At 36.5% G+C, this 15,595-nt stretch overlaps 1 protein-coding gene across 32 annotated transcripts in view; it reads left to right on the top strand.

Annotated features, from left to right (window-relative positions):
• The window catches only part of NFIB (nuclear factor I B), a 450,235-nt gene that overhangs the window by 396,401 nt on the left and 38,239 nt on the right, over positions 1-15,595 (top strand). For 27 of the 32 annotated variants that reach the window (NR_161382.1, NR_161384.1, NR_161385.1 and 24 more), the window contains 2 exons: positions 9,911-10,045; positions 15,053-15,237. Coding sequence is in view for 28 of the 32 variants with exons in the window: in NM_005596.3 (NP_005587.2) it covers positions 9,911-10,045; positions 15,053-15,237 (320 nt within the window). In the remaining 4 variants the exon portion in view is untranslated. The remainder of the gene's footprint in view (positions 1-9,910; positions 10,046-15,052; positions 15,238-15,595) is intronic. The other 5 variants (NR_161383.1, NM_001369473.1, NM_001369477.1 and 2 more) reach the window with 1 other exon arrangement.

The following is a 15,595-nucleotide window of genomic DNA, read 5'->3' as shown; positions in this document are numbered from 1 at the left end:
TATAAGGAGATACTTTCTTAACATGGCAGCTAATTATTTTTTGAATCATCTGGCATCATCATCAAACTACTGTAGTGGGATTACATCCATATGTCTTGTCATAACATTCAGAGCTTTTTGTTAACTTGGAGTGTGTGGGAAGGACTTGTTCACATTTGCCACACAATCATAAAATTTTACATCTAGAGGAGTCCTTAGACACAGATATTTAGATATTCTTTTTTCTTCACTGTATTTTCAAAAGACATTGTTTTGCCTGTAGCCAACTAAATTGCAAATGTTACATTGAAGCATTTCATTTTACAGTTTTGCAATATCCAGTACCTAAACTAATATGAAGCTTTCCTTCTTGCAGTGTAATGTGGGACACCTAACAGGATTCAATATTGTCAGCCCAGCTTTGGGAATTATTTATAGTATTCTGTGGAGCTACAGGCAACAATTTTCCCAAAAATATCTATTTTACAGTTTTTACAGTAAAAGTAATAGTTATTTGTGGGGAATTTGAAAAAACAAACTTTCAAATATGAAGAAGAAAATAAAAATCACCTGTAATCTCATCACATAAAGATAACTTCTGTTAGTATTTCATTGTATATATGCTAGCCTGTTTTTCTATGTATTTTTCTGCATTTCGGTGCGTTCTATTTCTATGAATGTATTTTTGCAGTAAATTGAGCTTATATGATATATGCTATTTTGTAAGTTTTTTTGTCTTTATAATCTAATGGCATTTTACCATATCCTTCAATTTCCTTTTTTTTTTTTTTTTTTTTTTTGAGACAGAGTCTCGCCCTGTCACCCAGGCTGGAGAGCAGTGGCGTGATCTTGGCTCACTGCCACCTCCACCTCCCTGGTTCAAGCAACTCTTCCTGCCCTAACCTCCCCAGTAGCTGGTATTACAGATGCACGCCACCATGGCCAGCTAATTTTTGTAGTTTTAGTAGAGATGGGGATTCGCCATGTTGGCCAGGCTGGTCTCGAACTCCTGACCTCAGGTGACTTGATCCACCCGCCTCGGCCTCCCAAAGTGCTGGGATTACAGGCATGAGCCACCCCATCCAGCCTTCCACTTTGTAATGAGTACATAATATGCCACACTTTGGCTACACCATAGAATTTTAAATATCTACTTTGCTGATGAATATTTAGATAGTTTTGGAGTTTTTGTATTATAAAGAGAGATACAGTGAACATCACTGCATGTAACTCTGTGCCTAATCTGATTGGGTGATTCTTGTCTAGTTCTTTTCACTGTCCCAAGTCCCTAGCATACTGCCTGGCATGAAGTCACCAAGTAGAAGTTCAGTGAAATTTTGCTACGGGAATAAATACATTCCTACTGTAGAATTACTAAGTTAAATCTTATGTCCATTTCTAAGGCTTTTGGTAAATATTGGCATAGATCTTATCAATTTACATTCCCTAGAGCAGTGCCTGAGTGGCTTAACTCCATTGTTATAAGCCGTAATAATTTCAATGTAGCACATGGCTCTATAAGCAATTTCAAAGCATGTCCTCTGACAGAAATTTATAGAACATTCTTTATGGCCCTGTGACTTTACCCATGCACCTCTTTTTTATCATTTGAATTTTATTTAAACCATCAAGGAACACACCATGTGTCTTCTCCCCATGAGCCAGGATAGCTCCATTTGTGAAGAAAATGGAGAAATTGAGAGGGTATTGTACAAAGGATTGTACAAAGCTTTCAAGTAAAGGCAGAGCCTGCTTGGTCTCTCTCTCCTTTCTTCCTCCTTCAGGACACACACCCTCACCCATCATCAGTCCTTTATTTATTAGGTAAAACCTGTTAAAGTAAGGATTGCTGTCATTCTCTACATGGAGATCCTTAGAAATAAATACCTCAAAGCTTTGGACTGGGATCTTAAGTATCTGGCAGGCTAGATGCTGCCCCAATCTGGCCTTAATAGTTGTCTTATTCTACATAACACTCATACACTTATAAATAACCTGGACACTTTCCTCTCTTCAACACTGTTTATCCCAGGGCAAAAACAGAGGCAGAGAAATTGTGGTCTTTTTAGCTTTCAGTTGGCAGTCATCTTCTCTGCCTTCTCCTTGTCCTCTGGGAACAGAGCCCAAACTGTTTCCTTGTCTCAGGACTGACTCTGGATTTGTGGCCTGAAGTAAAAATGTCAGATTTCAGCTACAAAACTCATCCCACACACTTGATTTGGTAGCCTGTCATTTACTACCTTATTTATTTTAAATAACATTATTATCTTATACAGATGGTTCTTTTCTTTTTCCTGTTGTCTTCCAGCTTCCACCCAACATTTTAATGGAAAGCAGAAATATCCCAGTTAAGCTAAAGCTCATTTTTCTCTTTCAGTGCTGTGTTGCTTGACAGAGTTTCAATGGAGTGATGGATGTGTTGACCACCTTTGCCTTCACCCAGCAATGAATTTGGTCTCTGAAGAGGTTTTCAATATTCAGAGTTTTTGTTTATCTAGAAAACTCTTTTAAAAAAAATCTATGAAAGTCTAATACTTTCAAAAGTCCAAAAAATGAAGAACTTTGAAAATTATGAGGGTGTATCAACTTGATAAAACTTGTCAATATAATATAATCTTGTCAAATCCCAGCCATTGGACTGTCTCTAAGCTAAGTGTGCTTATGTATGTTCTTTCCTTCTCTGGTCTGTATCAAACTCCTCTGGTCAGTATCATACCAGAGGGTCAAAGTTAACAGAAGTTTTGCAACTGTTTTCATTACACTTTGAGTTTTCTTCTGCCAAAAAATAACAAAAAAAGAAGATGAAGAAAAAAAGGAAGAAAGGAAAAAAGAAGACCGTATGCAATGAATCAAGCCTATAATCTCAACACTTTCAAAGGCCAAGGCAGGAGATCTCGTGAGACTAGGAGTTCCAGACCAGCCTGGGCAATATAGCCAGACTTTGTCCCTACTAAAAATTTACAAATTAGCTGGGTGTGATCGTGTGCCCATAGTCCTAGCTACTTGGGAGGCTGAGATGGGAGGATCGCTTGAACCCAGGAGTTTGAGGCTGCAGTGAGCCATGATTGTGCCACTGCAGCCTGGGCAACAGAGTGAGACCTTGTCTCTAAAATAATTAAATAAATTTAAATAAATAAATGAAATTTACACAATAATAAAAGATAGAAAGGAAAAAGAGGAATCCTGTAAATTGTTTAGCAGCTTGATAATGTGAAAAATAAAGAAAATATGTAGATATTTTAACAATGATTATAGCTTTATAAGCACTTAGCAATAAAACAAACCTTAACGTTAAATACTGGAGAATAAAAGTAGCCAGCAAATGGTGACTTGTCTCTATAGGGTTCATTTAGACTTGTTTACAAGTTACAAGTATGGCATGTAAATAAGGAAGACAATTTAGGAATATGTAAAATAATTACACTTTTAAAACATTTTGAAGGAATTTACTTCTTTGTTAACCAGATAGAAATAGGACTATTCTATCCTAGAAAAAGGACTAAATCATAGGACTGGCATGGTTAATACATTTTAATTTAGTGATATGGTTTGCTGAAAATAATAGCTTCCAGAAATTCAAGAATTCTTGCGTGTTCTTACATAATTAATTTGAAATTGTTAAAAATTGTGTTACTATAGGGAAGAAAAGGAATTTTTCAAAAAAGAAAATTGTATGTTTTCTATGTAGGCTTTAGTAGTCTGATTTGTAACCTTAATCTACTCGAGCATATTGGAAAAGCTAACATATTGCTCTACTATATGTGAAAAAGGAGCAGGTGTCCCAGACAGGCAGGTGTTAAGGTGCTGTTTGAGCTTGCCCTAGATCACTAGTTGACTTCAATGAAGTTCTACTAACAGGTGGCTAACTGATTGGAGTGCCATGTGACATTTATCCCGGGAGCGACTTGGATGACAGGCTGCTACAGACTGAGGAAGGGGTCTTTGCTTTGATGAAGAAATTGCCAAAACTCATGTCTCATTAGTGTTTCCTAAGGTTCTTTGGAAGTGAACAACAGTTTAATTAAGGGCTGACGTAAACACGTTTCTGCACACTTTCCCTGCAGCATTTTATCACATTAGAATTGATCAAAATTGTTGCCTTGGGCTGACTTGAACAGATATACATCTGGAGCGCAATTTGTGCAAGCTGCCGATGAGTCGAGTACATACGCTGTGTTTCACAGCGACTCTCTTCCTTTGTAGATGAAATTACCTTGTTGGGAGATGAGTTGATCTAACTCTTTATTTGCTTAAGTCCTTATCTCTTTGAAGTGATGACGTGAAATAAATAACACATCAAGGCCTAGGATGTATATATGTTACAGTGCCAAAAATATATATAGTATGGTCAGGAAAAATCGTGTGATAATTTGATTTTGCAAAATACTTATTTAAAGGGATGCTTAAGAATAAATGAACCAACTTTATCAGTAGCCTACTTGAACTTTTTTCTTACATGGTGATCTTTTATTCCATATTCAACTACACGATGAGTTTCTAAAGTCATAGCTAATTTTCCAGTTATAAATGTAAACATGGGTGTACACATTGAAGAATAACACCATCAATGTGAATCTTTTTAAAAAAATTATTCTCTCTAATCTGTCATTAAGAAGAATTCTTTCTGCAATCCAGTATTATTATGATTGCAACTATTTAATGCATTTCTGTCTTTAATTTCTGCCCTCTCTACTAAACCATGAGCATCACCAAGACAGGGACCACGTGGTTTTGTTTGGCATCTTGATGCATAGCCATAGTTCCTCACACTTACTAGAATCTCAGTGATTGATTTTCTTTTCTCTTTGCTTTACAGTCAGCTACTTCTCATCTGGTGATATTTATTCATGGAACATGAATTTTAAGATATACTGGCTATGGTTATTTTTCTCATCCTGCACTACTAGTCATCACTTCATAATACAGTTTCTTTCACATGCCAGAGATTCTAAAATAAGCTGCCTAGACACGGTGCCTGCTTTACCTCTTCTTTCTTTCATTTCTACTTTTTTTTTTCATTCTCTTCCCAAGTAGCATATTCTTCCAGCCTCTACATCTTTTTGTGTTTTTGGTAAAAGCATGTTCCTTAGGAGGTAAGCCATTAGTCACCTTTTTAAAAAAAGCATACGCAGTGGATACAAGTAAATAACAATGAAAAATTCATCAAGCAATATAAGATACAAACAAAAGATCATTAATGAAATCTAGATCTCAGGGATTTCCAAGAGAGATTACTTAAGGAGAAAACAAGTTTGTTCAGTGGATAAAACATTGTTCTATGCGTGGAATAAGGAGAGTGGAAATGCCTCATTTTCTAGTTCAAGGGAATGTCATAGATCAGGGATGGCACAGAGTTAAAAACATATTTCTCCTGCTCCTAATGGAAGCCATAAGAAAATTAGCTTCACTGAAGTTTAAACAAAATGGAATAACAAAGAAAAAGAGCTATTTAAAAATGTGATACTGTGGTAGATCTTGCAATGAGAAAGATACTGTTTGAAGGATACGATGCCAGCTGCTGGTTTTTATAAAGTGCCATGGAGAGGAAGGCCTGGAGGAGACTAGGAAGAAAATTTTTGGTTCAGCCAGGTACAAGTGAAAAGGGCGGTGAGAACAGAAAAAAAAAGTCAAATTTTTGGAAAGTTTTTTCTTCTAAAATCAATTCATTTATAAATTATTACTTTCTAAATCAAATTTAAATTGTTCTGTCTGATTTTAAGCCATCACTGGCCTCTACTTGTTTCTCTTCAACTACCAGCAACTCCTGCCTCCCTCCCACCAGTAGAAACATCAGCTAATCCTTTGCCTATCATTTTGCATCTCTTTTCAGCTGCTTTATTTTATGTATTATTCAACTTATGCATTATTATGTATGCATTATTCAAGTTATTATATATTTATGCATTATTCAACTTTATTATTATTCAACTTATTTTCAACTTAATCTTTTTATGTAGTATTCTTCCTGCTTGAGGGACAGTAGATTGTGTAAAGCGTGGTATTTGTTTTTCTTCACAGAAAGGTCACTTTAAAGTATCTTTTCTATATATTCATTCTTCAAACTTTTTTTTGTAGCATATGAGCACATTACACATAGAAACAATATCATTTTTCACCTTGGCATGAAGCCTTTTAGACTGTAGACATTCAAAATAAATTAAAATTAAAATAACACTAGTTTGGTTCATGATTAAAATGTAATAGCTAGAAACTCTATCTTTACTTTTTCCCCAGATAATTGATCTTTTATTTCCCCTTCTAGTCTAGAGAGGGTGTTTTTTTTTTGTTTTTTTGTCTTTTTTTTTTTTTTGAGCGGGGATTCACTTTTGTATCTTCCTAAGTTCTTAGCATAGTGCCTTCTGCATGCTGTGTAGCAGTGTATTTTTATTAATGGGCCAAGAATTAATTTCATTTAATGAGAAAACAAAGGCAATTAAACCTATATTCTGATACTACCGTTCTTCACCTGTCTCTAAAGCAAATCCTTTCAGTTTGGTCAGTGAACCTTCCCATTCTTATGTTTACTATTATAAGTTACTTTTGTTGTTTAAGGAAAGAGTTTGTGGTTCCTTTTGCAACTTGAACAGCAAATTGTATTCTGTTTCTTCTGTGTTGGTCTGTATAATCCTCTATGAACGTACCGTTATTATTAGGTGCATGCCCAAAAAAGAATTGAAAAAATAAATGGACCCATAATAATTACTCAGTAAAAGCAAGTGTGTCATTTTGGCTAAGAAAATACAAATGCTTTGCTTCTTAAAATTTATATAATTTACATTAAAAATTACATAATCATCTTCAACTTCTATATAAACACCCTTGATTTATGTGCCCTTTACAAAAGGAGACCCATGAATTTGCCTGAGTTTAATGAAAAGTCTGATATAGTTACAGTAGTTGCAGTTGCCTTAATTGATCCTCTTCTCCAGAAATGACATACCCAGAACGACACTGTTCTGTTTCTCAAGCTGTGGTCACATTAATTTTTTTTTTTTTTTTTTTGAGACAGAGTTTTGTTCTTGTCGCGGCTGGAGTGCAATGACACTATCTTGGCTCACTACAACCCCTGCCTCCAAGGTTCAAGCGATTCTCCTGCCTCAGCCTCCCAAGTAGCTAGGATTATAGGTGCCCACCACCACGCCCAGCTAATTTTTGTATTTTTAGTACAGACGGGGTTTCACCATGTTGGCCAGGCTGGTCTCGAACTCCTCACCTCAGGCGATCCACCCGCCTTAGCCTCCCAAAGTGTTGGGATTACAGGCGTGAGCCACTGCACCCGGCCTAAATTATTTTAAAATGAGGTATAATTATGCTTTATTATTTATTCTATGGAATTTTTAGAAACTGATTTACCCAGTTACATTTTACTTGAAATTTATATTTAAACATAGGTAAAGCAGAAGAGTATCAATAAAAAGTTCCCAGTTTCTTTTTCAAACAGTTAATTTTAAATTAAAAATTTGGAATGGCAAGTGATTGCATCATCTATAACAAGAAAGACAGAATAGAGGTTCTTTCCACCTCTTAATAATCTGTATGTCTATGATTTTACATCCATTAGTTAGAGGCCTATATTTGTAGTATTACCTTTTGAAATCACATAGCTCTTATGCGACATTAAGTATTATTTTTGGCATCTTGAAGATAGCAAAATGAGCTTTGTCTATTTTTTAAACCATGGTTTAAATTTTTTTTCTTTTTTTATAGTGGCATTAATTGCTGTGGTTTTATGAACAATTTATTTCTGGTTTTTTTTTTTTTTTTTGAAAAAGATATACAGAAATGGTTCTCTGACTCATCAAAGTTCTGATAGATTCACAACAGCCAGTTAGTCACAAATTGTAGCTTACAGCTACAAATCCGCCTGGCATTTTTTGTAGACTGTGATGTCTACTGCCTTTACAGTAGCATATTCATCCTTTAAATGCCACCATGCTGAAAATGCATATTTAATTTTATGAATGCCTTTACCAGAGCTTAGGTAATTTTTCAAATGGTAAAATGTAATGATAATTAGTTTCTCATATTAATAGCACCATAAGGTCTTTTTCTAATTTCAAGAAAACTCAAAAATGCAAATTGTGTACATTTTGTATGTGTGATAAAGTTTTGGTGTTTTTTTCTTTTAATAAAGATTTATTTTCTTTTAGAGATACATGCTGAACTACTTAGAAGCAAAGTTATATGATATCTGGGATTTGCTTCAAAGTACCACAGGGAGAGAAAGTGTAGATGGGGATAAAGATGAAATAAGATTTGTTATGAGTTGATCATTGCCGAAGTTGGGTTATCGGTACGTGAGGATTCATTACAATTCTGTCTACTTGTGAATACAGTTAACATTTTTCATAATAAAATACAAATTTTATAGCTCATCATTTTTATAACATTTTACTATGAGTTGATAAACTTCCATTAAAGTCAACAGCACTCAAGATGTTAAAACCAAGGCATATCTCTCAACTCCCTGCTTATTCCAACAAACTGCATGGTATAGTCTCTTAGTCAACTAAGATGATGACAGTCTACATTGCTTAATAATTTAATTGGGTGAACCCTGTTAAAATATTTATTGCATTAGTTCTATCATGATTCTTATTTCAAGCTCTCATGATCTATCTTTTGGCAGTATTAAATATTTATGAAATGAATGAGTGAATGAAGCCCGAAATCTCTGAATTCTTTTCCTATCACAGCACCTTTGCAATTCCTTCTTACTTGTCCACATCGCCTCACTAGATTTTAAGCTTTAAAGGAGCCGAAAGTGAGTCCAGTTCACCAGTGTGTCCCAGGCTAGTGCAGCATGTGGCATACATTCGGTCTTGAACAAGTATTTATGGAATGAATGTATTGATGAATCTGTCTTCTGAAGTGGTCTTCATGATTTCTGTCTCTGTTTTGGCCAGTCCGCCCTCCATTTAGTTTCTGGGGGAATTGTTTTAAACTGTCATTGTGATCATGTTTTGCCCATCTATGGCGTTTCTCCTATGAGGGTAAGCATTCAGACGTTTGTACAGGAAGCTGGAGACCCGTCATCCTGTGGGACCTGCAAGAGGCTTGCTCCTCTTCTTCATCTTTCACCACTCCACACACTGTTTACTTGTGTATTCTGTGCCATCTTTTTTTCTGAGTATTTCCTCTCTGAGAATGTCATCCTCATTCACATTTTGAAAATGGCACCAATGAGAAATGCCTTCCTCATCCTGGGGAGACTGAGACGATATCTGTCCTGTACATCGCAGCTGGCGATGTAGCAGCAAATGCCAAAACTTCCCTGCTCTCAACACACATTGTACCTCTCAACCATTCACAACCATTTTCTTCTAATCATTTTCCTCCTCACCAACAGTGAGCATCCCTAGAGCAGGAATTACTTTTAATTTCTTTGACATCTTCATTTTACCTGGCCAGTACAGAAACCCAGTAAACGTTTGCAGAAGGAGTAAATTAAGGAATGTACTTTTTGCTAATCAAGTGAATGAGTTTTCCATAAAAGCTGTGAAATCAGTGATATCGTGACCAACATACCTGAAGGTTGTTTTTCCCATTTGCAGCAGTTATCCTCTGTCGAAAGACAATCTTCTGAATCATATAAATCTCAGAATGAAATACTGAGGTAAAGAAGGCCTTTGTGTGAACCAAGGGGCTAAAGGAAACAAGACTTTGGGTTTTTAGAAGTTTAAGATTTATTTAGTAATGGGAATAATTCTGATGATAATTTTAATGAAGGCTTCTGCTAGCTTCCATGGAGATTGAACAAATATTTCAGAGCTCCAAGACAGCTGGATCGTTGACACTCAGAATATATTTTGTAAAAGAGCCAAAGTATAAGAATACTAAAATGTTGCAAGATGAGATCTGTCATTTGTTGACATGAACCTTAGAGCTTAAGAAAGTCATGGAGCTTTGGGTTTTTCTCTGTTTCTCGCAGATATGTCTTCTCCGACTACTATGAAGAAGCCTGAAAAGCCATTGTTCAGCTCTGCATCTCCACAGGATTCTTCCCCAAGACTGAGCACTTTCCCCCAGCACCACCATCCCGGAATACCTGGAGTTGCACACAGTGGTGAGGAGTTTCAAGCATAGAGGAGAAGCCTCCTTCTTGTCTGTAGGGCCTAACCCCCTTAGGGACGGAGCAAAAGTTTATAAATAGAGCTATGGCAACCATATTTTCTCAACCCATATGGTGAGGGGCACAATCCGATCAAGTATTTTTTCTTCTCAATTTATGAGAAAAGATTTCTCTGGGTGCAGGGGCTCACGCCTGTAATCCCAGCACTTTGGGAGGCTGAGGCGGGTGGATCACGAGGTCAGGTGTTCAAGACTAGCCTGACCAACATGGTGGAACCCCGTCTCTACTAAAAATACAAAAATTAGCCTGGCATGGTGGCATGAGCCTGTAATCCCAGCTACTCAGGAGGCTGAGGCAGGAGAATCGCTTGAGCCTGGGAGGCAAAGGTTGCAGTAAGCCGAGATCGTGCCACTGCACTCCAGCCTAGGCGACAGAGTGAGACTCCATCTCAAAAAGAAAAAAGAAAGATTTTCAAAGTCATACAAGTAAATAATATTTATAATATGTGTTTTAAAATTACCTTAATCAAAAAGATTGTTATCAGAAGAATGTGGAAAATATGGGTACATAGCTATCTTCATTATAGCTTCAGGATTAGTCCTGATATTTTACTAAGGGAAAGATGGAATTTCAGTTATGTTGCTGAGTTTAGAGTGTTTCTAAAGGCATTAAGACGTAAGGCACTATTTCTGTAGATGTTATTTTCTACATATAAATCAATATTTATCTATATGAGAGTAATCAGAGAATAAAAGGTACTTTTTTTGACACTTGTTTTATATGCCCAAATCCTTTGGGCTAGTACACTTGATATTGTGTCTGATGTCTTAATTTAAGTAGGAAAATGAATCCAATATTTGACATTTGTACTTTAACCAACAGCTAATACCAAATCTTTCAAAAATTAAAAATGAGATACAGCTAATAATTAACACTGTGTACTTTTTACCTAGAGAGGAGTAGACTGCATTTTAGGTGGAAAAAGTTTTATATATAAATATGTTAATAGTGAAACTGTTATTGGTTTAAATTTATAGTTAGGCACTTCCTCATCCTTCTGACTAATCGAATCTGGTTTTTAAATCTTTATGCAAACAATGTAACATCTTTTAAAATAAAGTCCTTATTAGCTTTGGTTTGTAAGTATATGTTGATATTTGTTGGTGCTATACTTAAAAAAATGCATGGCCTTTATTGCTATCATTAAAAAATTACGAAATTGAGAGAGGACTATACAACTTAAATGTGGTATAAGAACTTTTGCATTTATTACCTATACCATTGAGATAGGTGAAAAAATCAGTAACTGTTTCATAGGTTTGTAATGTTGAATATTTGGACAGAATTAACTGAGAAGTCAAATCACCCATTTGTTACGACACCTGATGAAAATATTCTTATTTCTAACGTGAAAAAAAGTAGACAGTATATTTTTATATAACGAAACAGGAGAGACCTAGATGAGCCCTCCACCTTGGTCCTTCACCCGATATTTGTTCTGTATCTGTATATTAGGGTCTGTGTTAGGCATCTTGTTCAGAAAGATCGTTTCTGTCCTTAAAGAGTTCAGGATATAGTGGGGAGAGAGTGGGGCCACGTCATTGGCTGGGCATCTAATCTGAACATGACTAGATAACCTGAAGAAGGTTTAGATACCTGGAAGATATGTGTTCTGAGCTAAAGTGTGATGGCAAAGTTCACCACAAGAAGGAACAACAAACTAGGAAGAAGAGGGGCAACCTGGGAGGCAGAGGGACATACTAGGAGGAAGAGGGGCAATGTGGGAGGCAGAGGGGCAAACTAGGAGGAAGAGGGGCAACATGGAAGGCAGAGGGGCAAACTGGGAGGCAGAGGGGCAAACTAAGAGGAAGAGGGGCAAACTGGGAGGCAGAGAGGCAAACTAGGAAGAAAAGGGGCAAACTGGCAGGCAAAGGAGGCAGAGGCAACAGCATGTATCAGTGCATTAGAGGCCATTGCAGCAGGCAACTGCCATATAGCCAAGGATCCACAAATATCTTCGTCTGGCCAGAGATGAAGCCAAAGAAGTGATCCAGGACTCGGTCTCAGAGTACCTGAGGTTGTGTGTACTGAAAAACCTGTTGGGATTTTATTCTGGAAGCAGTAGGAAGCCACTGAAATAATTTTAGCGGAGAAGTTACATGATTATAATGGTGTTTTTAAAAAGTAATTCACATAGCACTATAAAGGATGTTTTGGAAGGAGCAAGACTGAAGGAAAGAAGACAATAAGGCTTTGCAATAATGTATGCAAGAAATACACATACATGTGTATGTATTCTTTCATAATAAAGGAAAACTTTTTGTCTTGTATTTTACTTTTCTTATTTTTTTTTCTTTTTCTTTTCTTTTTTTTTTTGAGACAGGGTCTTACTCCAGGCTGGAGTGTAGTGGCGTGATCTTGGCTCGCTGCAACCTCTGCCTCCCAGGTTCAAGCAATTCTCCTGCCTCAGCCTCCCGAGTAACTGGGATTACAGGCACTCACCACCCCGCTCAGCTAATTTTTGTATTTTTTTTAGTAGAGATGGGGTTTCACCATGTTGGCCAGGCTGATCTCGAACATCTGACCTCAAGTGATCCACTCCACCCACCCTGACCTCCCACAGTGCTGGGATTACAGCCGTGAGCCACCATGCCTGGCCTGCTTTTCTTATTTTTAAAGGACTAGAATGGCTTTTATGGAAAAGGTAGTCATTTTTACTCTCAGTTTGAAATACGACATTTTACCCAGTGGTATCAGGCCACCTACAGCTCATGCAAGCACAGTGCCAGGTTGCCCATAGATGTGAGTTCGGGTTTGATTTCTGCAATTTCACTTGAAAATAGATCTCCTCCAGAACTATTAAGGCCAAATTAATCTCAAAAGCTAAAGGACCCAAGATGGAACTATGTATATATCTTTCCAGGGTTTGTGTACAGATGTGAGCAAAAATCATGGTTAAAATGAGCTGAGATTAAGAGCATTTAGACACTAAGTAAAAGATGCCCAGTTTTTCTTAGATGTTTGTATTTCCTTAAATGATACTTTCAAATGGGTATACTTCTTAAATAAAGTAATACTTCAGTAAAGAGTTTTGTTTTAAGAAATACGCATTTGTTCTCTGAAATGCATACATTTGATGGAGGATGCTCAAACTTCAGTATGTAGGAAGATTACATGGACACTTATTTAAAATATACATTTTGGTGCCTTACCCCTAGAGGTCCTGATCCCCTAGGTCTGTGTGTAGACCAAGGGATCTGCATTGTAAGAACAATACAGAGAATTTCAGAAACAGTGCTCTGGACGTTCAGAGAACAAAGTCGTGACTATAAAATTGAATTTATGTTTTTTCTATTCTATACATTCTTAATTTCTTATATCTTCTGAAAAAGTTTTTTTTGGGAGAGGTAAGCAATACATCCCATAAATAGGTCCCACCCCCCCACCCACATAGTTTCAAAGTTGGAAATAAATCATTCTAGGTGATTTCCCTTTGTAGGTTATGGCTAAAATTTATTTTTTTTCATATTCTTTAAGTTGTCTCATAAAACATTAGACATTTATCGTTTATAATTTCCTATTATTTGAATTGGGAAATATTAAAATAGAAAGACATTTACTTTTCACTTCTACATATATTTGTTGGTAGTTTTAATTTGTATTTCTATGATTATTTCTCTCAACATTTTAGAGATAATGATCATACGATTACACTCTTTCTCCATCTTTCAAACTTAAGATTTATATTTCAAAAACTGAACAATAAATTATAAGAATACTAATGTTGAGAAGTTATAGTAAAATTGAACATTGTCCACATTGCATGTGTTTTATATAGTATTTCCCTTTATAAAATTATTATAAAATATGTGATATATGGGTAAAGTAATATACTTACCTATATGAAAGCTTAAATTTTCATTGCTGTGTGTTTTATTCTTGGTTTTATATTAACAATATCTTTTAAACTACATATAGTAAAAGTTAAAGTAGAAAGAAAAATAGTTGCAGAATAGAGCTCTTTTGGTTTTGAAAGAAACATTTTCATTAGGAGAGTTTCTAGCTCTATGTTCCAATGTTCATAAGCATTTATACCATGACCAGACAATTATAAATGACATGAGATGATGTTGTATTAGTTATTGTCTTTCCTTCTAAACAATTGCCAGGTAGGATGTACAGGGAAACGTTTTATTTGAAATTGAATTTCACTTTTGTTTTTAATTTTGGTAGAAAATTTTTGGCTCTTTTGCCCTCTACTTAATGCTGTGACTTGCTCTGGACTTATGAGACAAAGTGTTTTTTGTTTGTTTGTTTGTTTGAGATGGGGCTTATGAGACAAAATGTTTTTTGTTTGTTTGTTTGTTTGAGATGGGGTTCTGTCACCAGGTTGGAGCGCAATGGCGCCATCTCGGCTCACTGCAACCTCCGTCTACTGGATTCAAGTGATTCTCCTGCCTTAAGCTCCCAAGTAGCTGGGATTACAGGTGCCCATCACCATGCTCAGCTAATTTTTTGTATTTTCAGTAGCGATGGGGTTTCACCATGTTAGCCAGGCTGGTCTCGAACTCCTGACCTCAGGTGATCCACCTGCCCCAGCCGCCCAAAGTGCTGGGATTACAGGTGTGAGCTACTGCACCCGGCCTAAAGATTTTATAATCAAAGAATATGTTTTCAACGGGATATATCTTTGCTCAAAGAAGTGTTTTATCAAGTATTGACATAACCTATAAAAGAGAAACTGATTTTGTAACCACTCACAGAGCCAGGAAGCAAGATTGTTAATTTTCTAGAGTGATGTTTTATCTCTGTGTAGTTAGCCGTACTGGTGTTGAGAATAAAAATGAAAAAGTAACTGTTGATTTAGGAGAGCTTGGTTAAATCATGGGGACAAAAATGAATGGTTACCAGTTTTGTAGTTTCACAGCATTCTTCAGGATCAGAATGGAGCAATAAGGTAACCAGCTGATGAGTCAATCTTTCCTTTTCTGTCTTCTGCAGTCATCTCAACTCGAACTCCACCTCCACCTTCACCGTTGCCATTTCCAACACAAGCTATCCTTCCTCCAGCCCCATCGAGCTACTTTTCTCATCCAACAATCAGATATCCTCCCCACCTGAATCCTCAGGATACTCTGAAGAACTATGTACCTTCTTATGACCCATCCAGTCCACAAACCAGCCAGGTAAAAATAAGAGAGAAAATAAGATTAGCACCTAAGGGAGATGGGACAGATCTAATTCTGAGACACAAAGGTTAGTCAGACAGTGTGTCTGGCAGAACGTCAAGCCTTGAAATCCATCTTCAGGAAGTTGCTTGGTGACTCAATAAGTTTTTATTTAAAGGTGGCTGAATGACAGGTAGGAAGTGTGTTGCCCCAAAGGGTACATTTGTGAAGATGGTTTAATGTTTTTGGATTTTCACTGACTGAAGGGAAAGTTTATGCAGAAAGTACATTGACAGGAAAGCTCTGGGCTGGAGTTCACACCTCTTAAATACCTGGTTTGACACAGAGACAATGTGCTTATTTCAGGCAGGAGTAA

This window comes from Homo sapiens, chromosome 9 (genome assembly GCF_000001405.40).
Source record: "Homo sapiens chromosome 9, GRCh38.p14 Primary Assembly".
Classification (NCBI taxonomy): Eukaryota; Metazoa; Chordata; class Mammalia; order Primates; family Hominidae; genus Homo; species Homo sapiens.
This window is presented reverse-complemented; position numbering and strand designations above follow the sequence as displayed.